General features: G+C 38.4%; 1 protein-coding gene across 6 annotated transcripts in view, besides 4 other annotated features; it reads right to left on the bottom strand.

Annotated features, from left to right (window-relative positions):
• The window catches only part of TP63 (tumor protein p63), a 300,531-nt gene that overhangs the window by 258,124 nt on the left and 14,754 nt on the right, over window positions 1–27,653 (bottom strand). For 5 of the 6 annotated variants that reach the window (NM_003722.5, NM_001114978.2, NM_001329144.2 and 2 more), the window contains exon 1: window positions 7,576–7,764. The exons of the other annotated variant lie outside the window; for it this stretch is intronic. In NM_003722.5, the coding sequence (NP_003713.3) occupies window positions 7,576–7,637 (62 nt within the window). In that variant the 5' untranslated portion in view covers window positions 7,638–7,764. Of the gene's footprint in view, window positions 1–7,575; window positions 7,765–27,653 lie in introns of those variants that run through there. 6 annotated transcript variants of the gene reach the window in all.
• Window positions 7,640–8,449: a promoter, noted in NCBI's record as "-784 to +26 promoter". NCBI's record gives the evidence for it as "EXISTENCE:reporter gene assay evidence [ECO:0000049][PMID:20052674]".
• Window positions 8,185–8,210: a protein binding site, noted in NCBI's record as "NF-kB (II)". NCBI's record gives its function as "positive regulation of promoter activity" and the evidence as "EXISTENCE:protein binding evidence [ECO:0000024][PMID:20052674]".
• Window positions 8,237–8,247: a transcriptional cis regulatory region, noted in NCBI's record as "Sp1 site". NCBI's record gives its function as "contributes to promoter activity" and the evidence as "EXISTENCE:site-directed mutagenesis evidence [ECO:0005528][PMID:20052674]".
• Window positions 8,297–8,321: a protein binding site, noted in NCBI's record as "NF-kB (I)". NCBI's record gives its function as "positive regulation of promoter activity" and the evidence as "EXISTENCE:protein binding evidence [ECO:0000024][PMID:20052674]".

Here is a 27,653-nt window from a genome sequence, read left to right as displayed (position 1 = left end):
TCATGGTGAATTCTTTAAAGGAGATAGAAACCCTGTCCAGACAAATTTGAGCTTCAAAATAGCTAATCAGAAACTTGGCTCTCTTGTCCTCAAACAGAGATTGAAAATTGTCACTTTAATCTTACAATCCATTTGGCTTTGAAATAAAGTGAGAATGTGAAGTCTTTCTTTGGGAGCATGCATCTCTGTTTTTCATTATCTCTAGTTACCTTTTTATGAGCATGTATTGGGGCATTGGGTCTAAGCTTGCCTCACTGTAGGTAGTGATTTTCAAAACTGGGTGTGCAAACCAACGAATCATCTGGAGTGTCTGATAAAAATGCTGAACTTGCATTCATTCCCTTGGCTCCCAATTTCTCAGAGAGAGGCATCGATGTAATCTCAAACCCAAATTAACTGAGAACCTTCCAACACCAAAAAGTCTAGAATTATTTCTCCAAGTGTGGTCTGATAACCACCCGAATCAAAATTGTCTTACAGTTTACAGTGCATTTCCAAGGCTCCACCCAAGCCCTCTCAATATCTGACAACATCAGAAGTGAGTATGTGCATTCCTGTGTTTCCTGGATCTAAATTTGGCCTTCAAAATTTTAGAGCTGCCATCTAAGAGTCAGATATATCTCTGTGTAAAAGAGTTTGAGGAACTTTAACAGAAACTAGTAATAAGAATCACTGTTTCAATTTACTGCCTCAAGAGCAGATGCTTGCATCTGCAGTCCCCGGGCTAGCTTGTCCAGTGTTTTTCAGCCCCACCTTGTACCTTGTATTATTTCTATACAAGTACTTTTACCTTGGATTCCCTGAGGTCTAGGATTGTATTTCACTCATATATTCTACCTTCCCCACTTGGCACCATAAAAAAATAATAAATTCATGGGAAGGTTTAGTTAAACGCATCAAAACAAAACGCAGTTTTCTAGTGTCCATATCTACAATTTGGGGATAACAATTCTTACCTTGGTGGATTAGTTTCCTATTGCTGCCATGACAAGTTACCACAAATTTAGTGGCTTAAACTAGCACAAAGTTAGTATCTTGCCGTTCTGCAGATCAGAAAACTGATGTGGGTCTCCCAGAGCTGAGATCAAGGTGTTGGCAGGACCTCATTGCTTTTGGAGACTGTAGGAGAAAATCGGTTTCCTTGCCCTTTCCAGCTTCCTTGGCTCCTGACCCACTTCCACTTTCAAAACCAGCAATAGCCTGTCAAGTCTTTTTTTACAACATGTCACTTTCACTCTTCTACCTTCCGCTTTCTTGTGATTACATGGTGCCCATAGGGATAATACGAGTTATTCCACCTACTTTAAAGTCAGTTGATTAGCAGCCTTAATTCCATCTACAACCTTAATTCTGCTTTGCTGTGTAACATAACATATTCACAGGTTCTGAGGATTAGGATGTGGCTATCTTTCGAGACTATTATTCTGCCTACCATATCTGCCTACCTCCCAGGTAGGTCACATGTGCAATGCATTGGGAAACATTTTGTCAACTGTAAAATTTTATACACATCTAATAAAATGCTATGTTTTGTGTTAAAGAGAGCTTTGAACTGGTAGTCAAGGGACTTGAATTCTCATCCTGGTTCTGTTACTATTTTGCTGTGTGATCTTTGACAATACACTTAACCACTCTGGGATTCAGATTCCTTAATTCTAAAGTATAAGAACTGAGGTGGACAAGCCAAGATGATGTCAAGACCCATAATGATCTTTCTTCCGAAAGTTGATATAAAGTGGAACTTGAGGTATGCTTACATGAAGACACAATTGTTGGAAGGCAGCTCCAGTCCACTGGCACACTATACACGTAATATAATAGTAGAACTGAACAATACAGCAGGTCATGAAAAATGTTTTGTTTAACGTCTTTTCCATATAACGCTGATGAGAAAAAAAAAATTCAGTTCCCAGCTGAGGTCACTGTCTATGTGGAGTTTTTGTGTTCTCTCCAGGTCTACATGGATGTTCCAGGTATTCCTATTTCCTCCCACATTTCAAAGATATGCACATTAGGTTCATTGGTGTGTCTAAATTGCCCCATTGTGAGTGTGTGTGTGTGTGTCCTGCAGTGCAATAGCATCCAGTCCAGGGTTGGTTTCTACCTTCCACCCTGAGCTGCTGAGATAGGCTCTGGCCCTGAGACCCTGAACTGGAATAAGCAGGTTGGAAAATAATTAAAGGAATGAATATACATTATTGTAAAATAAAAATTCACAAAGTCTATGATAATCATAAAATACATGATGATAAACGATGCAGTCAAAAAGTGCTCAGTAAGCCTGCTATATTTTCATTTGATTTTGAACTGTGTGGTGGTAAGAGGTGCTCCTTACAATTTTTGCTTTGCAAAGATTTATTCCTTGATTTAACGTACTACCACTATGACCATCACTCACTGATTCACCAAAAATTGGGCAAATAATTATCTTACTTCCTTGTATTAATCTTTCTTAAATACATGTGTAGCTCACATTTATCTCAATGTTTAATATTAGAAATCTTGTGGGTCTATATTTAGAAGATTGGTGGCGGTTTTGTGACCCGAAATATGCCATAGAAACTTAACTGTTGTTTATATCAATTAGCCTATGGTAAAATTGGTTTCGTTAGTTACATACGGTTTTGCTTAAAATCACAATCTCCAAGAACCTATCAGTAATGTTAAGTGAGAACTTACCGTACACTAAAGGGGTGTATTTCAGAGTTGAGTTGAGTTTATTTCTCAAAGTTCTAGTTGTGAACAGTAAATGAGAGGTTTTTATCCCTACTTAACTCATGAGGAACTTTGATTTAGATAGCTTAAGTGATTTCATGAAGGTCACATAATCACTTAGTGGTGGAGTTTACTTACTACAATTGAGATCTTTTGCAAATCCTTTGTGCACTCTGCTAAGATGACTCTCTGCTATTTAAATGCACTCACCGCTCAGACGCAGCGCATGGTAATAGAGCGGCATTGTGCTTTTGGCTAACCACGGTTGGTCATAAATATATTTTGAAGCTTATTCATTAGAGACTGAAAAATTTTTTTTTGATTACAACTGATGGATATATTAGATGCTGAAGATAAACTGTAACTTAATATTTCTTTAAAAGTGTGTATAAACAACTGTGTATAAACAACATATGCAGACTGTAGCATGTTGGCTCATTCCTTTCAGTCAGAGAAACTTAGTGATTACGGAGATGGCTAAAAGCCAGTGTGCTCATTGAAATGGATGGATTCATCATTTACCTCATATCAAAAATTATATTATTAATTACTATATCAATTATTTTGGAAGTCTTCTTATGTGCATAAACAACATCATGGCATACTTTTTTAATGTGTGTAGTTGTCATGATCCTGGCAGGAAAAAGAGCATGATACTGGCAAGAAAAAAGATATTGAGGAAAGTTTAATGAGGGGGTAAGGAATATGATGTGGATCCCTAGAATTAGCAATGGCGGGAAATGGTTACTCCTCCTAAGCTTGAAGAAAAGGAAGGGGAGGGAGTAACTACTCAAAGTCAGGGGACTCGGACCTGCAGCAAGGGCCTCTGAGAGGATCTGCAGCCTTTAGCCAAAAACCAACAGGGAGTCAGCCAGGGAAACCAATATTCCAACTTCACTCTCCTGCAGGAGATTGCTGCTGGTTGAATTCAACAGGAAACCAGAGAAGAAAAGACCTGTTAAAGCAATTATCAGGAGGCAGCTTCTTGAGGCAAAGAATGAGAAAGAAAAAGAGCAGATGTGGAGGAGCAAGTGAAGGACGCCCAACACAGAGCTGCATCTGCCTTTAGGTGATTTTAACTTACAAATGAAATGATCTTCCACTGTAACTTCATTGTCATCACTCTTCCTTTTGGGATATATTTAGAAAGTACAGCTAATAAAGTTGACCTTTACGCCAGTAAAGAATAAAAATCATAACAAATATGTAATTCACACACAAAAAACACACTTCATATTATCCATATAGTATTTTAATAGTTCGATGCTTCTTTGGAATACAGGATGACTAAGAAGAAACAATACAAAATATTTTACTGGTGGTTCAAATTGAAATGATGTTTACTTTTCTCTAATTCTTAGCCCTCAGTGATCACATAATTTCAAAATTTAATTTTGATTCATGTTTATCATTTTAACTGGTTTATTTTTTGAAAAAAATACTTTGAAAGAATTTAATCTATTAAAAGTACTTTGTTAAAAAATAAATTTTGCAAACTAGATGGAAATTCTAGAAATGAAAGAATGGAAAATTGCCCAAGTTTTAGCCCAAACAATAAATTAACAAGGATGTATCTTCTGAAGTGTTAAATTTTAGATTCATTTCCAATATTCACCTAATACAAAATAAACAACAAACAGAATTTATTGTGTACAAGTTTCTATTCATAAATTAATGGTAACGAACCCACTGACTTATTTATTGAACTTTTATAATTTCATCTATAGTTCAATATTTTAAAAATTAAGTTAGTATTCAAATGGTAATGTGATTTTATCCAACTTTTTTCCTCTTTGTATTGTTAATATTATCAAAAGGGGAACTTAATAAGCTCTAAGGTGTTAACTGCCTTTTTGGTTTTCAGAAAAGTTTTTGCAAAGACTAAAGTAAATTAGCATTAACATCAGGGCACAACTAAATGCTCAATATGGTAATATGTTTAAGTGGAAAGGAAAAAAAACAGAGGATGAAGTCCCAATTTTAACTTAGAGAATGATTACCATCATCCTTTGAAACATGTATTTAAACACTTTTTTGGAATGGCATTAACATTTAGTAATAAAAGATAACATCTGTCATTTTTTTTTCTATTCTGTAAGGGAATTCATAAATTAAGGTAGCTTGGAGTTAAAAATATCAAGATATCCTGTTCTTTCTTTAAAAAATTATCTTTCATGACTTCTTTCTAAACACAAGGTCAGTAAAGACAAATTTAACTATGTAGATGACTATGATTATGGAATGATTAAATTTGGTCTTTCTTAAAATAGCTTTTTGTAAACCGAGAACTACAACGGTTGTCTGCTTACAAAAACCAGCTCAAACCCATTTACTCATGAGGTATCAAAGAACATATTGTTTGATCCTTGCTTTGACCATATACATTATCATACTAATTCCTTCAGTGATATTTCATTTATTCACTTGTTTATTCACTAAGTAATAAAGGTTGGAAAATAGTAATAATTCAGTCCTTAAAACACATGACAAACAGTTAAAATACTTGAGGAAAATATATTTTAGATTAAATATGTAAGTACTGCAACATTAAATAAATGAATGTAACAGTCACATCTAATTGGTTTTTGTATTTGCAATGTCTTCCGCAGAGCAGATGCTGAGTAAGAGCTATGTTTCATCACCTTAATGTTTTTGCTGGTTAAGCTTGCATTACAAATGAGAAGTACATATTCTTGCCTAAAATTATTTATTAGGCAAATAATTGCTCCCTGGCCATTCTGAACCATAGTCTCACAGCTTCTCAACATGCCCTCCCCTGCCTTCCCCAAAAGTATCAGGCACCATGATTAAAGCCCAGGGCATTCTAGGAAAATTTAAAACTACTTAAAAATACTATGTAGCCATAAAAAAGAATGAGATCATGTCCTTTGCAGGGACTTGGATGGAGCCGGAGGCCATTATCCTTAGCAAACTAACACAGGAGCAGAAAACCAAATACTGTATGTTCTCACGTGTTAAGTGGGAGTTAAATGATGACAACGCATGGACACATAGAGGGGAACAACACACGCTGGGGCCTTTCAGAGGGTGGAAGGTGGGAGGAGGGATAGGATCAGGAAAAATAACTAATGGGTACTAGGCTTAGTACCTGAGTGATGAAATAATCTGTACAACAAACCCCCATGACACAAGTTTACCTGTATAACAAACTTGCACTTGTACCCCTGAACTTAAAATAAAGGTTAAAAAAAAACCAAAAATACTATGATTGCTTAGAATATTACAGTATGTCAAAAACTGAGATGACATTTGCTTCATGAACTAATAGATCGTCAAGGTAATATAAAAAGTAGTTTCTCTATTTCTTTATATTTATAGGCCTCTCTTATCATTAGAAATGCTTCTAGAGAGGTATGTATGCAGGATTGAAGTGTGGGTTATTAGTCAATAGAAGGAAGTTTCTTCTAAAGCTTCCCTGGTTCCAAGTACCTAGTTTAGGAGAGATGCCCTCAAGAGTAGCATTACACAGTTACTATTTCATCACAATTATCTTCTTAGAACTATTATTTCCAAAGATGTTTAATGGAATAGATAATTTTGAGATTAGAAACAATTTTGAGAACCAGAAAATCTTTGGTGTTTTTCTTTTTAATCAACCCAATCCTCAACTGCAGCTAGATCTAATTTTCACATTATACAAGAACATAAATCCTAGAGCCATTTATTTGTGCTAATATTGTTGTTTGTGGTAAACAGCAAGACACGAATCAAGCCACCACCAACAAATTCCACTGAAACCTTGGAGACCCCAAACTTGCTTCCCCTCTCTCTTTTTTCACCCTTTTCTTTTTATCTCCTTTATTCTATTTATCTTTCTGCCTTGCTCTTTCTCTTCTGCCTTTTCGCACAACCCACCAGAAACCTCACAGGAAGAGAAACAATCTACATAGCTCACATTAGTGTTCTACGTTGTAGCAAATCACGTTAAAGGAAGATCACAAATCTTTCACACTCTACTAGTCTACAGTAAGTGAGTCCTGCCCAGAGAGAGCAGAATCTGCTTCTAGTATCAAGCTCCAACAGACACAGGTGGTAAATGGCAAGTTAACCCTTTGTAACCTCACCATTTTCAACACGCAAAGGACCTCTCTCATTAGTCTTATAAAATAAAGTACGAAATCTCATGCTGTTAAACTAACATCACATTGCTACATATGACTTGAATATCTCCCATAACTTTATGACTGGAAAAACACTGTTCAGATTTCATTTACCAGTTTAAAAATAGCAAAGTCTAATTTGAAGCACATACACAATTGTGCACCCTCACTAATATTCTCTCTTAGTACTAGGCAAATGTTTCTAAATAAAATTTACTACAATCACAAGCTTTAAAAGTCAGATTTGTCAAAAGATTTTCATTATCAAACATACCAAAAAATATTCCTTATAAAATGCAATGACAAGCCACAATCTGTTTGGTACAACAATGGCTAGTTATCTATTTCTTAATGTATAAATCAAAATTATTTGGTGTTTATTTTGACTTGAAGATTATCCATACATTATTATATCCCTGCCCAGTGAAATTTCTTATTGAGTGAGTAGGTGCTGAACAAGGCAAATAATATATTTTAAACATTCTTAAATGGCGTGATAATTTTTTTTAAATGGGAAGATTCGCTTCAAATTTTTTCACTTTGTAGATCCAAATATCAACCAAAAAAGACATTCAGAAAATATGTCCACAGACCACTTTAAGTCCACAGAAAGTCCAAAATAATATCACTGTGCTGACTAAACAAGGAGGAATTGTTCTTTGTACACAGCTGACACATTCATAATACACAAGGCACTTCAATTAAGTTTTGAGAGAAGTTATGTCACATTCAAACTCACCGCTGGATGTAAGGGTCAGGGCAGTACTGTAGGGTGGCACACCGTGAAGTTTCAAAATTCATTTCCTTCAACTGTCTTTGATATCAACGAACGGAGAACAATTATATAAAATATACACATATACCTGTGTATATATAGATATAAAGCCGGGAGGCTAAAAGCAATAGGGTCAAATGCTATCAGACATAGAAGTTTAGGCACTTCTCTCCTTCATACATATTTGCAAAGAGGCGGAGCGTTTCTTGATTTTAGCCAATGAGATTCATCAATTGACTAAAACTTCATAAACACTCGATTCTTACCAGCTGGGCATCCTCTCTACTGTTGTTCTTCCCCCTCTCTCACGGCTTCAGAGTCCTTGACGTATAGTAGCCACACTTGTTGTTGGCAATTTGGAGCTGGAGGCATCTCTGAACTTCTGATCTCTGTCGTGATTGGATGCTGGCATGAATGGCATCAGAGTTTAATTTCAGCAGCCTGGACTTTTGTAACTGAACTGAGCTGATGAGTGTCCACCCTGCTCCAGCTACATAACACTTCCTTGTATCTGGATACTGGTTTGATTTGAGGATTTCTGTGACTATTTCTGGGGCTAAAATGTTTTGTAGAGCTGCTTAGGGAAGTTTTGTTTTGTTTTGTTTTTTCATCTATTTCCCTCCCTCCCCGCCCTTCAGTTTCCCTTTCAGCCAACCGCCTGTTGTGGTCACAATCTCAAATAGCAAAGACAGGGAAATTCCTTGATTATATTTAACTTAGAACTCACTCTTCCTCTCAGCTAAGAGAAAGAGATATCCCTTTCACATCCCCTTAGAAGCTTTGCCTGACCCGAATAAAAGAAAATAACCTTTATTGAGTTAAATATCCTACCTCAAACACATGCACATGTACTTACATATAATATAGTAATTTTCTTAAAGATATTAAAATTGGAAATAATATATTATTGTAGAATATTCTGAAGTGCACAAATTATTTCAAATTGCCTGTTAATAAAAATATTCTAGTTTATTTTAATCTCTCAGTCGGCTCCACTCTATTCTTTATGTCTTACAGTTTTTGCTGTTTTTGGTTTTGCTTTGACTTGACCTACTTCGAAAGGAAACCATAAAATTGTTCATATATTCCCAAATCAGTGTAATATCAGGAAAGTCTACACACAAAATAATTTATTTCCTTTCTGAATATGGGCTGTAAACTTATCCTGGTTTTGTGGATTTGGAAATTGAATGAAATATGATTCAGAAGCTCAGTTAGGATAGACTCCAACAGGGGGAAAAAAAACCACTCTGTGTATCTAACGGTCACTAACATGGTGAGTTCACATCTTCCCTTCACCCCCTAGTCACAGGACACACCTGTAAATAGGTGACATCAGTAGATGTCAAAGTTGTGAGACAATCTAAAGCCCTTTCAGAGAAATTTGACATTTCCCTGTAAGTAAATCTAACTCAAAATGTGTTTCATAAAAATATTTTATTTGTTGCTTCAGCCAGGATGGAAGGGAGAAGCTATTTAAAACTTGACATTCTCTTCCTTTACTTAGCCCGAGAGCGGCTAACATCTGTGAATTGTGAAATTCACAAACAGGCCAGCCTGAGCCCCAGCCAAATCAAACAGCTTGCTCCACAAAATGTAAAACTTAAAGGGAAGATTGCTTAACTAATTAATTATAGATTTGTTAATTGCAGTTAAAGAGTTTGGCTTTCTTCCCTGCTATTAGCAAATATAGATGACCTAAATAGAAGGTTCTGAAATTAAAAATAATCAATTTCCTGTGACCACAGCCAAGTGATTCCATTTATAATGAAAGGTGGAGTGAAGATTTCTAGTGCAGAGCTTCTCAAGTTTTAATGTGCCCGTGAGGCACCTAGAAATCTTGTTAATGCAGATTCTGGTTCAGTAGGTCTGGGGTGAGGCCTAAGACTCTGCATTTCTAACACGTTCCCAGGTTACTTGATGCTGCTGGTCCTTGGACCACACTTTGGAGTGGCGAGCCCTAGTGTTCCTTCTAGCTCTGATATTTACAATTCGACGTCTCTAGGAAATGAGGAAGAACTCTTCTAAATATTTTAAATTAACTTCCAGGGATATAGACTCCCAAATAATCAATTTGCAAACATCTCTAGTGTGTTGTGTCTTTAAAATTTAATTAATTTTTGTTTTTTAAAAGTTATTTTTATTTATTTATTATTTTTGAGACAGCTTCTTGCACTGTCACCCAGACTGAGTGTAGCAGCGCGTTCATGGATCACTGCAGCCTCAACCTCCTGGGCTCAAGTGATCCTTCTGCCTCAGCTTCCTGTGTAGCTTGGACTACAGGTGAGCACAACCATACCCAGGTAATTTTGTTTTGTTTTGTTTTTTTAGATATGGGGTCTTGCTGTGTTGCCCTGACTGGTCTCAAACTGCTGGACTCAAGCTATCCTCCCGACCCGGCTTCCCAAAGTGTTGGGATTACAGGCATGAGCCACCACACTCATCTATTTTTTTAAAAAATTTAAAAGGTTTATAGCCTAACGTATTTAAATAATATCATTTAAACGTATGTCATGATTTCAATAGTTGTTATTTAAAAATCCTAAAGTTACTAAGCTAAGAGGAACAGAAATTAAATGGCAACAAATTTTAAATAAGTAATTATGAAAAAGATTGGCTCCTATTGCATTATGGAAATAAATGGCGAGAGTTGACCCAGGAAAAAGAGGCAAACTCTCTAGAATTCAACAGAACACCAGTAGCATGCAACCATACACGATCAAGTGAAAAATAAGTGGCAATCATATTATAATTACCATAATTGCTTCTTATATTTATAGTTCATCCTTATTCTCTTAGGGGACTAAGGTTACTATACAAATGCATGAATTATATCTTTGATGTGCAAGGTGGAAACTTTTCCAAGACTTTAGAGTCTTTTAGGCAGAAATTGTAATATAATAACGTACATAGAAGTCTAGGAAAAGCAATTGCCTTTCTGACCATGACCTGCCTGTTTAAATGATGTTTGTGAAGACTTTAGATTTGTATGGAGGGGAGAAGAAAGTACTTAAGGAAGGAAAGGTGTTTTGGACTTGGACCACTGAGCATAACGTAGGAGAAAGGGACACTTTGTTCTTCTTGACTCCTAGGAGCCAAGAACATGCACTCTGCCAAACTCAGGTGTCTATGATACAAATTCTTCTCACTTACATTCATGAAAATTATTTTACAACTGCTCCCCTTCATGCACTTTCCTCTAGGTTGCATATTTTTCTGGTTGCTCTTGTGCCTTGGATCATATTCTGCCCTCCACCAGGAATGTTTTAAAACTCCATCTGCGCATATTCACATCTTGCTCATCCTTCAAAGACCAAAAATTCTCCCTCTTTTTTCCACATAAAAGAAACCTTCCCCACTTCTACTGTCCTACATAATTATATCTGCACTTTTTTGTGTAAGGTCACCTATAACTTTCTTCCTGGAGTCTAGCTATTTTTGAATAGACTCATCTCCTGTACTGGATTGTGAACAGCTTGAGGGCAGGCTTGCTATTCTAATTCATCTCTGTGTTTTCAGGAGCTAGCAAAAATATTGCACCTAATGGATGAATAACATGTTTATGTATTTGCAAAAATCATCTCATAATAAGTATTGCAACTGATTAAAAATAATTTCCACAAAACACTTGACCTCTTAGAGTTACTTTATGAGGTATAATTTACATACAATGAAATTCGCCAATTCCAAGTGTTCAGTCTGAGGAGGTGACACATTAGACACCGAGTAGCCTTCATCGCAATCAAGATTCCAACAACCCTATTACCCCAAAACTTTCCTCATACCACTTTGCAATCGATCTCCCCTCACCCCTGGCCTTAGACAATCACTGACTTGCTTTTTGTTTTTATAGATTATGTGTATATTTTCTAGAACATTGTTTTCCAATAGAACTTTCTGTTATAAAGGAAATATTCTATATTTGCACCGTCTGATGTGGTAGCCACTAGTTACATGTGGCTAACGCTACTGAAGAGCTAAATTTTTATTCTTACTTAATTTTAATCAACTTAAATTTGAATAGCCATGTGAGGCTACTGGCTACTATGTTGGACAATACAATGCTAGAATATCACATAAATGCAGGCATATGGTACGTATTCTTCTGTGTCTGGATTTTTTTTGCTCATTGATGCCATGGTTTCTGAGATATATTCATGTTGTCAACTGTATCAGTAATTCACTCTTATTATAGCTGCTGAACCTGTGGATCTCTCGTTTGTTTGTTTAGCTATTAAGAATGAAATCTGGTCTTAGATACACAATTATGGCCAGAAGTCCAACAAACTTTTTAAGAGTTCAATCATCACATATCCCAGAACTTGTTCTTGGTCCTCCTGAGGTCTTTGGCAAAATAGTAGCTTCTTTCTTCCAAGACTGCTATAACTCTGAAGGAGAGAGCAAATGTTGTGTAAAGCAGTTGGCTAACCTGGGGTTAGTACGAGCTCTGGTACTAACTTACTCCCAGACCTCAAGCAGGTAGCCTACTCTCTTTGAGCCTTAGATACTTTATTTTTAAAGGGGAAGGATGTATCAATCAGGATTCCTTGGGTATAAACAACAGAAACTGATTCTGCCTACCTAAAGCCAAAAAACACACAAACAAACAAACAAACAAAACATGAAAATGTATGAAAAGAAATATGAAAATTCACAGACTATAAGAGACAGTTGGAAAAAAAACCACACATCTCAGAAAGGGCTGTAACCAGGATAAATTATAAATTCAGGGACTTAAGAAATAGGAATGGACAGTCACTTTGCAAAGCCACTGTAGGCGTAAGTCAGATTCAACAGCTTTTTTTGAACTTCAGCTATTCAGCTTAAGATTCAAATTCCCAAAAGAAAGATGCCATGTTTGGCCAGGAGAGGCCTGATCATCTGGACTGATGGCCCTACCATGACTGAGCAGAGAGTTTTCAGAAGAAAATAAAGGTTCTGTTAACCAAGGAAAGAGCAATAGGTACAGGGCAGTGGAAAACAACAGATGCCACCACAAGAGGCTTAAAGCAGATGATCTTGCATGTTCCGTAGAGCTCTGGCAGCCTGTGACTATGAGATCAGAGAAACTGAATTCCTTTGTGTCAGGGTAACTGAACCTCAGGTCCTAGCCTTTCCAGGTCATCCTGCATTTATAGTGAGGAGAGCAGGAAAGAACCTTCAAGGAGAGGAGGTGGTGGAGTAAATTCACCAACTATTGCTCAAATTGAAGAGACTGAGTTTGGTGATTTTTAATTGTATGACACTTTTCTGTACATAGCTGCAGCTCAACCACACAATCTCTATTTTAGTAAAGTGGAAGCCAAAGTTCTGTCATGGGGAGGATCCTGCTAACTCTTCCAACTTTGGACCTAATATTTGCTACAGTCTGACATCGATTAGGAGTAAAGCTGGGCCTAGAACTTAAGTAAACTGAATGGTATTCGAATGACTTTAATTCAATGAAAAAGCAAGTGCATTGCAACCTTAGCCATGTGCTTCTTCTGATTTGACCTCCATCTCTCTTCAGGTCACTGAAATTCATCAAATAAACATTTATAGTTAAGTTAATGTCAAGAAGATGCCTTAAGGGAGTGTCCGAAGGAAAGAGGGCATGCAAGGGAACAGAGGCCAATTGGGGCAGGAAGAGGTTGGCAGTTTCTTTAACAGACAAACCTGATACCCTCCAAAGTCACACCCAGTGTCCAGAAGCAATGTGGGTGGGCTTCTTTTCCAGACATCCCTGAACAGCTGTGTGGGGGCTGCTCCTCACTCCCACCCCTCCTTTGCTCAAAGCTCACGTGAGTGAGAGATAAAGAAAGAAACACAGGAAGTCCTTATTTGGCATTCCCCAGATTTTTTTTTCCCTGAACCATTTGTCAGTTGCAGATATGTTGCACCTTTACTCTAAATGTCTCAGTGTGTATTTCCTAAAATGAGGAAATACCTTACATGATCTCAGTTCAATTATTGAAATTAAAAAATTATATCCATAAAATATCATCTATTCTACGCTGCTTATTCAGATTTGACAATTGTCTTAATAATGTCCTTTACACCAAGGAAAAATCTTGGATGATATGTTGCATTCAGTTGTCCTTTTTTTTTTAGTATCTTTTAATTAGGAACAGTTTCCCAGTCTTCTTTGTGTTTCGTAACACAGATATTTTTGTAAAGCACAGGCCAGTTGTTTGTAGATAATACCTTAGTTTAGTTTGAATGCACTTTTGGCAGAAATATCACAAAAGTGATGCCGTGTCCATCTCAGTGCATCATATCAGGAATTGCTCTCTTTTTAACGCCTACCAACAGGTTTTCCCCAGGCCTTCTTTCAGATTTACTGTGAACCTAAAACATTTAAATGTCAAGATTTGCAGAGTTCCTTCCAAGGTCCAGGGAAGTACCTTAGCAATATGTTTACATTGTCATAAATTGTAACATAGACAAATGTGAAATACTGTATCTGCAATATTTTAATATTATTATCCATCTCTACTCCAATACTCCTTTCATCACCTTTTACCTCAAGAGAGTTGTGATGGAGTGGCTGTGGGATTTTTTAGGGTCCAACTAAGAGGAAGTTGAATAGGGAATACTTTTAGTTTGGGTTTGAGAGGATACACTAATGTGTTTTGCAGTTACATTTATGTATAGCTAAATTATTGCTACTCATCCTGGTGTAGAATGGCTTCCAAGAGCACACCTCCTGCCCATGTGTGTTGGTTCAACAATGGCTGGAGACTACATCAAAATATGAATATGTCCTACAGTAATTGGCATGGGAAGTATGTGAATGCTTTTCCCTTTTTACCAACCATGAAAAATGTGAGTGGAGAAATTAATATCATCAATATTTAATCAAAACCCCCTCTCTATTCAGCATATGCAATTATAAATGCACCACATATTATATGCTTATTTATGATGAGAATGCATGAAATAGAATTTATCACTATTCTTGTGTCTGTAGGAAAATAAATGGGGTAGTGCTGCAAACAGCAAGTATGTCTATCAAGCCTTAGATTGGGGCTGCAGGAGGAAAGGCTGTTATATATTATATTAAAGATTCTGTTCAACCCCAAGAGTCTATGATTTTATGAGTATAAACTTCTTAAAGGCTATATTGACATATGATTCATCTATTATTCTATCTACATAAAATCACTTTGTTCTAAAATGATTTGAGTTAGCTTGTGAAATACTTATAACATTAAAAACCACACATATGTAAAGTTATGGGGGTGGGGGTGACAGGGTAATGAGGTAGCTTAATGAGTATAGAGTTTCAGTTTTGCAAGATGAAAAATTTACGTGATCTGCTGCAAAAGAATGTAAATATATTTACCACTATGAAACTGTACACTTAAAAGCAGTTAATATGGTACATGGCATTAATATATGCTTTTTACCATAACTATGGATTTCTAAATAATTTCAAAAACATATGTAGGTATATGAGGAAATTAATACTCAGCATAAACATCAATGGTAAGTAAAATAAGACAAAAATCAAAGATAGTGTTTATTCACAAACTGTATAATGTGAAGTTCCATACTTGTGCTAAAGCGCCATGAATTTATCTGTGAACTTCTAAACAGCCAGTGTAAGAGGACTTATATTTATTTATTTATTTTTTACCCACAATAATAGCTTTGACTGTTGTTATACATAGCACACTCTAGGTTTTGAACGAATAAAAGGAAACATAATACATACTGAGTCTTCCAAATAAATTGACCTTTAGTGTGTCTGGTCTCTGATTATAATGCATTTGGTTGATTGCTTATTGCAAATACATTACAGTGAATGATGTTGTGATGGGACCTAAATTCCTAGTGGGGTTTCAGTGTGATTCTCTCACAAGACTACATAGCACTCATTGATTTGATAGCTGATTAATGGATTCAACATGAATATTCTTTTAGGACCTCCTCTGTGTCCCCATCAGTGTGCTAGGGGCCATTGGTAACAAGTTGATCAACAAAATCCATTTCCTATGCTCAAATAGATCCCAGTAGAATCAAGAATGATCTTCTTTTCCTTTTATCATCTTCAACTTCATAGACAAAAGGATAACTATGGCATGGCTGTGACCCCAAGTTAGTAATGATCAGTTTGCCTACTGGGCTTTTGGTTTGAAATATCTGGTAACCTGATGAAGACTGATGCAATAAGAATATGTTTACAGTATTCATGAAGCATGTGTGTAGGTGGGAGATAATAAAATGAAGCATTCTTATTTACCTTCCCTTGGTTAGTTTGAGCCCATAAGACAGCTGTTGCTGAACCTCTCTTTCAGACATAGATTCACAAATTTGTGCCTTGTTGATTTGGTACTGATCATCAGGAAGTCATAAAAGCCACAATTTCTGGAAGGCAAGGAGATGCAATTGAGACAAGGAAACAAAAGCCCAATGTGTATATTTCAAAGCCTATGGCAAAATGATTTCTTTTGGGGGTGTAGCTTCTTGAAATATAGTGTTTACCTAGGGAACACAGCTCACAAAAGAGGGGCTAGAGAGACATTTATCAATTTCTCTTTTTGAAAATTAGCCATACTGAAAGTTAAAAAGAAATTTAGAGATCATTTACTTAGAAAAAAAATCTTAGAAATCAGAATGACTTAAAAATAACAAGGCTTTGTATCGTGGTTTATCGTACAGAACACTTTCACAGACAGTATCTCATTGCAACATCTCAACTGTCATGCGAAGTAGATGGCTAGAACAAGTGGTGTCATTACCTCCATTTCATGTGTGAGGAAGCTAAGACTCAGACGGCTTAAGAAACAAACTTACAATCACACGATGAAATAACCATCAGCCGCTGTGGCCTGTAATGGACCCAGCTCTAACTCCCAAACCCAATTCATCCACTCAATGAAATAACATTAATTAAATGCCTATGGTATGCCTGGTGTTGAGACGGGATTTAGGAAAATAAAGATAAATAAAACAAAGATCTCTCCTCTTTATATTGCATCTTCAAAACCAGAATTTTTATACAGCTTGCCACTTACTAAATATTTTATGTCCATTACCTATTTAGATAACTACTAAAAACCCTAGGAAATAGCCAAGTTAGGTTAACTGCATTTCACACAGGAAGAGATAGTTGGTGACTCTGCATTAATCATTCAGCCAGATAGTGGTAGAGCCAGGATCTGATCTCAAATTAACCCATTTCCCTGACATTTATGACCACATTTTTGCTTTTGACTCTCAAAAAGATTCATAATACATTTGTGCGCAGTCAAAAATCTCAGAGTCCTACGTATGCATGGTTTCCAGCACATGTCCCTCAGTGTCTCTTTCCTGGTCCAGTTAGCAGGATAACATAAGCCCTGCGAATGCCAGCCCACAAAGGAAGGCATGAGCTCATGGCGGGCATCCACATTTGGGCCAGGAGTCAAGAATGTTAACTCTGCTTATTTTGAAATCTGGGGCGTGCGCACCGTTTAAGCATGTGGGGGTGGATGCACTGATCAAATGCTTCTGTGGGATGGACATGATTCTCAGGGCATCTTTACAGGGGAATCCCCACGGGGTGACCCCTGAGTAGGTCTTGTTTACAGCAACATCTCTGTGTCAAGTTTCTACGAGGTAAATTTAAAGTGCTACCTTGCAGGAATAGCCTCAGTCTGAAAACACAACTAACCTTCACTGTCTTTGGTTAGTTAGTACATTATTCTGTTGCTCTGCTACTGATTTATTTAATCCATCTGAATTCTTCTTCAGTTATCTCTTATATTCTACTTCTGAATAGTATAAATAATTTTCCCCATGGAACTGAATTACCATTAGTATTGTTATAATAATTGCAACAAATATTTTCAAAGTAAAAAAAAATCCTTCTTTTCCAGATCAAGACCCTGAGTATACATAGAGAGGGAAATATGAGAAGAGAGAGAATAAATATAGAGTGATAATATTTATATAGATATGTATGCATATATGCACATTTATGTGTATATGTGTATATGTATATATTGCACATAATGTACATATTTACTTATATTCATATGTGTATATTTCTCTCTATATATAAAATATACTATAGTGTAACATGTATAATAAATATGTATATAAGTATGCATGTGTGTATGTGTGTATATATATGTATGTATATACAGAGAATATTTATTGGTCAAGTTTATTCTCTAATTTTCTTCTTTTCTTACTAATGTCTTCTACATAATCAAGGTAAAAAATTATTTTTAAAACCAAAAATAAATCATCTAATAGAAGAAGCAAAGCAATCTATGCAGTGTATTTCCATGGTATGGAAAATGTAGATTTTCCATATCACAAAGGCAAAGGAAAAGAAAGAAAATTCATAAGCTCCTAATTGTAATTATTTCTGAATTATGGAGTGAAAAGAATATTTTCTTCTTTATACTTTTCTGTAGTTTTCAAATTTTGCACAGTCAATGGGCATCATTTTTGTATTAACCTACAAGAAATAACCATTACAAATACTTTCCTGGAGAAGCTTTAGTCATGGGATAAATGTACATGAAAGAAAGTGTCTTAGATGGTTCTACCCTATAAAAACTATACAGGTGAAAGCCATTTTCTTTCAAAGGTGTGCGTAATAGATGAGTGAAAAATATTATGCCAAGATGAATGAAAGCTAAGAGAATGTGTCTCAATTTCCTGATGAACTGTCTTGTGGACAACCTCTGGTTCAAGAAAAAAAATGGCCATCATGAAAGATGTGTGGTACGGAGTGTGGGAGCTAAGAGAGTGGAATGCACAGTTGATGGCAGCCTCATGCACTGCTCCTTGGATTCACTCTGCTGTCACATTTATTGAGGCCACACTTCTGGGCTGCTTCCAACCAAGGACTGAACCTAGTAGGGCTACAAACAAGGCCCGTGCTGGCAGCACATGGGACATCTTTGATGCGTGATTTTTGACTCAAGAATGCCTCATTAGCCTGGACAAATCTTCCTTGAAATGGCTTTCAATCTGAAACTATTTCTATTGAATTCTCTTCTTTTCTCCTCTACCTCATGGCTGTCAGAGAGAGGTTTTTTTTTTTTGTTTTTTTTTTGATGGAGTCTTGCTCTGTCGCCACACTGGAGTGCAGTGGTGCAATGTCACCTCACTGCAACCTCCGCCTCCCAGGTTCAAGCGATTCTCCTGCCTCAGCCTCCCGAGAAGCTGGGACTACCATGCTCAGCTAAATTTTGTATTTTTAGTAGAGATGGGGTTTCACCATGTTGTTCAGGATGGTCTCGATCTCTTGACCTCATGGTCTGCCCGCCTTGGCCTCCCAAAGTGCTGGGATTACAGGCGTGAGCCACCACGCCCGGCACACACTACCATGCTCAGCTAAGTTTTGTATTTTTAGTAGAGATGGGGTTTCACCATGTTGATCAGGATGGTCTCGATCTCTTGACCTCGTGGTCTGCCCGCCTCGGCCTCCCAAAGTGCTGGGATTACAGGCATGAGCCACCACACCCAGCCAAGAGTTTTTCTTACACTCTGAAGTGCCCCCCTTCTTCCGCTCTTTTTTTCATTATCCTCCACAGGCATTCTCACTAGTGCATCTTTTGTAAACCCAATCCCTTCTTTAGCTCTGCTTCTTTGAGTACACAAAGTGACGCAAGTGGTCCTGAGAGAGGTCCAAGAGTGGAGAACGAAATGGGGGTTTTGGGACTGGCCCACTCCCTTATCAAGCAAATAGGATGGCTTCCTGAAGTACGTGGACTTTGGACAGTTTGGGGCTGAAGGAGAAGGCATGATTGCTATACAATTTACTGAGGTTGATCTGGAAAAACATCTATTGGAGGGAGAGATGCTTGTAGGTCCTCAGATTCGGGCTTTTGGCAGTTATGGTGGGAACAGTGCCTACAGATATGGTTCTTAACAGCACCTACAAGGATAGCAGAGCTTTATGGTTACTGCTAAGTTGTACTGATACCTTGAAGAGGGATATTGAAAAACTTAGGGCTCTTAACAAGCAGTTAAAGGCTAAGTGTGAGAGTCAGAGGACATCTTTGGTGTCTTACAAAAAGACAAGGCCCTCTTTGCAAAAACAAAGCTAAGCAGCCCACTGAAAATGTGGTAGTTAGAGTCAGAGAGCTCTAGAGACATTTGAATGTTTAGCTAAGGCTGGTTGGAAACACCTGAGACCTGGAAATATAGATAGGGGCATTAAGTGGATACCCCTGATAAGTTGGTTTTGCAGACTCTCCTAAATCCTCAGAGATTATGGAGATGGACCACCCTTTCCTAGTAAGAGCTAGTGCTTCCCTCACACTGAAAGACATCGCAGAGGCATTACTTCATAAAGCAACATATATCCCCCCTCTCAAATGCTTTTACTTCCTTTTTGGGCTGCCAGGTCCCAGACAGTGCTAATTTCCAGCAGAGCTCAGCTGAAGACGTACTGGTCATGATAAAGTAAAGCATGAATAATATACCAAAGAGTTGCCAGAATTAGCTAGCATGTATCAGCAGAAGCCATGGACATCCCTAGAAATTGATTTTTGCAGGTACTTGATTGAGGGGACTAAAAAATAAGTCCACATAGGAAACAGTTTATTGACTTGGGGGCATTTTCTTATGACGTGGGCTTTAACACCCTGTTAAGAACCACCGTGCATAGGGCAAGCTCACAGCTAGGGTGGCTTGAAAAAGTCTGGAAAAAGTGATGATCAATGCTAAATGAAGAGAAATTTCATGGGTTTCCCTACAAGACGGTAGATAAGAAATAAAGAGGCTGAGGGAAGAGGACATGGCTAGAATGGATATATAATATGAAGCCAGAAAATTCACCAGAAGACTATGTTAGATGAGGGAGCCAAGTGGACACTCGAAGGTCATCAAGATTCACTAAGGACATCAGGAATTTGCTAGTTGGAAGGGTAACAGGATCACTAAGTTCAATCCTGGCTCTCCTCTGTGTCTCAGAGCTGGGGGTAGGAGAGGTGGTCATAGACCTGGGACTGTTAATATCCATGTAAATGATGCCCCTCTACCCTCAAGAACAGAGGCCAAGGGTGGCACTTACCTACCACATGCTAGGAGGCCATATTTACCATTATGACCAGCAAGGTCAGAGTCACAGCCAGGGGGCTTGACCTGCAGTGAGTTCTGGGAATGGTTGATAGAATATGGCATTCCTAGAGGAAGAATAAGGTGGCAGCCAACAAGAGTGCTGCTTAACAGCTAAGAAAAGGAAAGAATGGGTCAGTAGGAGGCTGAGGATGTTCATCCCAATACAAAGAAAGACTTTCTCATTAGATTCTTTGACCTGAGCCCATTTTGAGATACAGAATTTGTTGACTGAAGAGGTAGCTGGGTTTCTCAGTGAAAGAAACCTGTAAGTATATATAGTGTGGCAATTCCATTAGGCTTCTCTAAACAGACCTATAGCCAGGCACGTCAGAAACATATACTGAACTCTGCTCTTAGAAGGGCCCCTCACTTGGTTTAGTGTTTTACTGTTACCATCTTGAAATTCTTTAAACAAAGGATCCCACATTTTTATTTGTACTGGATGCTGCACATTATGCAGCCTACTGCTGTTGACTTGAGTAACTGTATATTGGGTACAGACAGTTTGAGTTAATGTTGCTATCCAGGGACCTTAAGAGTAATCATGGACCTGTGGAAGCTCACATGGCTAAATAATAAATAAATTTATTATTACAATCCAACTCATAGGAAGCTTACTGTGTTTGAAGACCCACTTAGTTGTCACTTTTTCAGTCCACAAGAATTTTGTTGGAAATGACATACTTGGCAGCCAGAGTGATGCCCACATTGTGTCCTGGCCTTTGGAGTAAGAACTATCAGAGTCAGAAAGGTCAAGTGGAAACCTCTGTATCTGCCCTCTACTCACTATGCCAAGGGAGTAAATAAAGGGTAATATTACATTCTAGGAAGATGGTAGATGTTAATGCCATCATTAAACAGCCAAAGAATGTTGAACGGGGTAAGTAGAGTATCCTTATTATATCTCTCTTTATTGACTCAATATGACCCCTAAAAAACTCAGAAAAATCCTGGAGTGTAGACTTTTGCAACCTCAATAATGTAATAGCCTGATTGTAACTATTATGGGAGGGTGACATCTTTGCTAGAGCAGATAAAAAGACCTCAGGTACAGGACAGGTAGCCATAGATTTGGATGAATATATTTTTGTTTATTCTCATGATAAAAGAGGATCAGAAACAGTTCACATTCATGTGGGATATACAAAAATACCCATTTATAGTTTTTCCTCAGGGCCATGTTAACTCTTCTGCTCTTTGTCATATTGTAGACTGAAGATAACTGGGCTGCTTGGTCAACCCACAGAACGTTGCACTGTATGCGTTACATCAATAAGATCATGCTGATCAGGCAGGGCAAACAATAGATGGCTAGTATACAGGAGGCCTTGATAAGACATTTAATACATGCATTCCAGAGGGTGGGGGATAATCCCCATGAAGATTTAGATTCCTGACACTTCAGTGAAGCCTTTACAGATCCAATGGTCAGGAGTTTGCCAGAATATATATTTTGCAGTCCCATACCACAAAGAAGGAAGCAGAAAGCCTGATAGTTATTTTTGGGTTCTGGAGGCAACATATTCTATGCCTAATGCTCTGGTCCATAATCTGAGTGACAGGGAAGGTTTCAGGTATCTGGTGGAAAAAGATGTAGCATGAAACTTATGCTAAGCCCCAGTGGAGACTCACAATGCAAGCTCTGATATTCAGGAGTAGGACAATGCCATCTACAGCAGAGAAAATAATACATTTTTTGGTTAAACAGCTCATGGAAGCAATGAAAACTTGACCGTGAGGCTCTACATGACCATATGTCTGGAACTGCACATCATGAGCTGGATTATTTCAGTTCTTCTAAGTCATAAAATCAACCAAGCATAAGTCAACCAAAAGACGAAAATGATGTGCCCAGATTGAGCCCAAGCAGGACCAGAACTTAGCTGCATGAGCAGTAACCCGAATATCCCTATTACCCACTGCAGTTATATGAGCAATGTTTCCCTACTTCACTTCTAAGACTGGATGAAGGAGGTAGAAAAGGTCTGAAAGTGCTCTCCAGCCAAAGACAACCAGCTGTATCTGTTGGACTCATTATTTGTTGTAGCAAGGAAGAATATATACCATGAGGATCCATGGAACATCTCAATAAGAGGGTGTTAGAAAGAACTTAATATAGGATTTAGGTTAGTGTTAGCTTGTTGTGGAGAGGGTTCAAGGAATTAGGGCTTTGCTGTCTACTCAATGCTGTCAGAAAGTGGGACAATTCCATGACTGGATATCATAATAAATCTTATAAGGCAGGATGCAGGAAATGAAGCTAGTTATAATTAGGTAAAGAAGCAGCAGTAATGCAAATTAGCTAGGATGAGAGGATATGTGGATATTTTTGTGGTTTGAACAGTTTTTTTAAATGTGTTTATAACTGATTACAGAATGCTCTTATTTTTGTCTTGATCCATGACACTCATGAAGAGACCTTGTCTGATGCTGATTTCATTAAGTAGTTGTATGTTCAGTAAGAAGACACCAAAATCTAACTGTGAGTTCTAGGCCAGCTTCAGCAACGCCAGGCTCAGCTAATAGTGCCAGATCGGGTCTTAACAGTCAAGCCCTGCTTTTCTCCTTCCCAAGGCCAGGCTTACTTTACAGATAGGTTAACTTGGTAAGTGGTTGAAGGCCAAAAATGACAGTGGCAGCCTTCAAGAACATCTGAGGACAGCATTGGAAGTCAATAGAGAAGAAATCTTCCTAAAGTGTGGAGTTGTGACTTAGGAGCGTGGGCATCTACTTCATGAGGAAGGAGAAATGGCCTGAGGTAACGACATAAATAGATGCTTGAGTCAAGACCAATGGCCTGGCTATCTTGTCAAGGGCCTAGAATAAAAGGAATGGGGAGATTGGAGACAAGGAAGCCTGGAGCAAATATATGGACATATGGGAGTGGAAACTGAGTATGAACATTTTGTATCACACATTAACTTTCATTAGAACTCAGGAAAAAAGACCAAACACATAAAATTATGTTAATGTGGTATGTGCCAAAGCAGGAAAAGAGACCAAACACACAAAATTATGTTAATGTGATGCGTGCCATTAAAGAAACCTGAAAAGAAGCAGCAATTATAAATAATGAGAGGGAGAGGCGACAGTGATAGTGGTAAGCCTACGTGACATTAAATAGTTGAGAAAGACCTTTCTGAAGAGGTGATCTGAAGGCTGATGTGAAAGGTGAGGGAGGAACATGCCAGGTGGATGGAGCAGCACATTCCTGCAGTCAGGTAGGGGAAGGCCAGGAATATTCAAGAGACTGAAGAAGACGGTGCACATGGGCTAGAGTGAGTGAGAGGGAGATGGCACACGAGTCTTACATATTCAGAAGCCAGGTTATACGAGGCCAGAAAGGGAGTTTAGGTTTTATTCTAAGAGTAATGGAAAACTTTTGAAATTACCCAGGATGTGGTATAACCCAAATTCATGTTTTAAAAATATTACTCTGGTCTGACTGTGGGACAAGAGTGGAACACAGAGATTTGTTAGGAAGCTACTACAATCATCCTGTGGATTAATAACAGTCCAAATTGAGCCAGGACCTCACCCTACTTTGTGAATGCATTCCATTGTCTGTCCTTGAGTGGGAAGTAGCTGTGTAGGTGGATGGCACAGCCTTTCTTTTATAGCTGACTTTCCAGTGTCCAGTTCGGTTCCCAAAGTACATGTGGTATGATATACATATAGTTCAGCAGGATAAGTACCACGTTAATATTAGGAGATTACCCCCATGCCACATGCTTTCAAATATCTGCCCCCACATCTTATATTTTGAAAGTAAATTTGTACAGTCAATTTCAGATTAAATGTACTCCACATGAGCCTCTGTCCCGAATCCAGTATTGAAGTAAAGCAAGAGATACAAAATAATGAAGGAAATTAAATGTGTGTGTACACATATTACTGTATACATAGGACGTCTTACAAGGGAATGAATGCCAGAAGAAAAGAAATAAAGAAGTTCCCACTTAGTCCTATTAAGCTAGCAAAGTTGCCTGGGGTGCTGTCAATACAGGGCAGCTATATTAGTCCATTTTCATGCTGCTGATAAAGACATACCCAAGACTAGGCAATTTACAAAAGGAGGAGGTTTAATTGGACTTAGAATTCCACGTGGCTGAGAGGGTCTCAGAATCATGGCAGGAGGCAAAAAGCACTTCTTACATGGTGGCAGCAAGAGAAAAATGAGGAAGAAGCAAAAGCAAAAACCCTTGACAAATCCATCAGATCTCGTGAGACTTACTCACTATCAAGAGAATAGCACAGGAAAGACTGGTCCCCATGATTCAATAACCTCCCTCTAGGTCCCTCCCACAACAGGTGGGAATTCTGGGAGATGCAATTCAAGTTGAGATTTGAATGGGGACACAGCCAAACCATATCATACTGCCCCAGACCCTCCAAATCTCCTGTCCTCATATTTTAAAACCAATCATGCCTTCCCAAGAGTCCTACAAAGTCTTAACTCATTTCAGCCCTAACCAAAAAGTCCACAGTCCAAAGTCTCATTTGAGACAAGGCAAGCCCCTTCTGCCTATGAGCCTGTAGAATCAAAAACAAGCTAGTTACTTCCTAGATGCAATGGGAGTAAGATATTGAGAAAATACAGCTGTTCCAAATAAGAGACAGTTTGCCAAAACAAAGGGGTTACAGGGCCCATGCAAGTCCAAAATCCAGCAGGGCAGTCAAATTTTAAAGGTCCAAAATGATCTCCTTTGACTCCAGGTCTTACATCCAGGCCACACTGATACAAGAGGTAGGTTCCCATGGTCTTGGGCAGCTCCACCCCTGTGGTTTTGCAGGGTACACTCTCCCTCCCAGCTGCTTTCATGAGTGTCTGCCACTTTTCCAGGTGCACTATGCAAGCTGTCAGTGAATCTACCATTCTGGGGTCTGGAGGACTGTGGCCCTCTTCTCACAGGTCCACTAGGCAGTGCCCTAGTAGGGACTCTGTGTGGGGGATCTGACCCCAAATTTCCCTTCTGCACTGCCCAAGCCGAGGTTCTCCATGAGGGCCCTGCTCATGCAGCAAACTTCTTCCTGGGCATCCAGGCATTTTCATATATCTTCTGAACTCTAGGTGGAGGTTCCCAAATCTCAATTCTTTACTTCTCTGCACTGGCAGGCTCAACACCACATGGAAGCTGCCAAGGCTTGGGGCTTCCATCCTCTGAAGCCACAGCCCAAGGTGTGTGTTGGCCCCTTTCAGCCATGGCTGGAGCAGCTGGGACAGAAGGCACCAAGTCCCTAGGCTGCACACAGTGCAGGGACCCTGGGCCCAGGCCAGGAAACCACTTTTTCCTCCTGGGTCTCTGGGCCTGTGATTGGGGGAGCTGCCATAAAGGCCTCTGACATGGCCTGGAGACATTATCCCCTTGCTCTTGGGGATTAACATTAGGTTCCTTGCTACTTAAGCAAATTTCTACAGCCGGCTTGAATTTCTCCCCAGAAAATGAGTTTATTTTCTATCACATAGTCAGGAAGCAAATTTTCCAAAGTTGTATGCTCCACTTGCCTTATAAAACTGAATGCCTTTAACAGAACCCAAGTCACCTCTTGAATGCTTTGCTGCTTAGAAATTTCTTCTGCCAAATACCCTAAATTGTTTTTCTCAAGTTCAAAGTTCCCCAGATGTCTAGGGCAAGGGCAAAATGCCACCAGTCTCTTTGCTAAAACGTAACAGGAGTCACCTTTACTCCAGTTCCCAACAAGTTCCTCATTTCCATTTGAAACCACCTCAGCGTGGACTTTATTGTCTATATTGCTATCAGGATTTTGGGCAAAACCATTCAACAAGTCTCTAGGAAGTTCCAAACTTTCCCACATTTTCCTGTCTTCTTCTGAGCCCTCCAAACTCTTCCAACCTCTGCCTCTTACCCAGTTCCAAAGTCACTTCCACATTTTCGAATATCTTTTCAGTAGTGGCCCACTCTAGAGTACCAATTTATTGTATTAGTTCATTTTCACGCTGCTGATAGACATACTCAAGACTGGGCAATTTACAAAGAAAGGAGGTTTAATTGAACCTACAGTTCCACATGGCTGGGAAGGCCTCAGAATCATGGTGGGAGGTGAAAAGCACTTCTTACATGGCAGCAGCAAGAGAAAAATGAGAAAGAAGAAAAGTGGAAACCCCTGATAAAGCCATCAGATTTTATGAAACTTATTCACTATCATGAGAATAGCACAGGAAAGACTGGTCTCCATGATTCAGTAACCTTCTTCTCGGTGCTTCCCACAACATGTGGGAATTCTGAGAGATACAACTCAAGCTGAAATTTGAATGGTGTCACAGCCAAACTATATCAGCAGCACTTCCCAAAGGAACACAGTCCTCAAGAGAATTTCTGAACCCTGGATACAGTCCGTTAGGCACGAAAAAGAAATAAAGCACATCCATATAGAAAGAGAACAAGGCAAACGATCTTTGATTGCAGATGACATGATTCTATATCTAGAAAATCCTATATGCTCAGCCCAAAAGCTCCTCCAGCTAATAAACAACTTCAGCAAAGTCTCAGGATACAAAATCAATGTACAAAAATCACTAGTATTCCTATACACCACCAACAACCAAACCAAGAGCCAGATCAGAAAGGCAATCCCATTCACAACTGCCATAAAAGGAATAAAATACCTAAGAATACAGCTAACCAGGGAGGTGAAAGATCTCTACAATGAGAATTACAAAACAATGCTCAAAGAAATCAGAGATGACAGAAACAAATGGAAAAACATCCCATGGTGATAAATAGAAAGAATCAATATCATTAAAATAGCTATACTGCCTAAAGCAACTTAAAGATACAATGCTATTCCTATCAAACAACCAATGACATTCTTCATCAAAGTAGAAAAAACTATTTTAAAATTCAAACAAGAGCCCAAATAGCTAAGCCAACTCTAAGAAAAAGAACAAAGCTGGAGGCATCATGTTACCTGACTTCAAACTATACTACAAGGCTACAGTAACCAAAACAGCATGGTACATAAACAGACACATA

The sequence above is a fragment of the Homo sapiens genome, chromosome 3 (assembly GCF_000001405.40).
Source record: "Homo sapiens chromosome 3, GRCh38.p14 Primary Assembly".
In the NCBI taxonomy this organism is placed as follows: domain Eukaryota; kingdom Metazoa; phylum Chordata; class Mammalia; order Primates; family Hominidae; genus Homo; species Homo sapiens.
The sequence above is the reverse complement of the archived record's forward strand: the minus strand, read 5'-3'. Positions and strand labels throughout refer to the sequence as shown.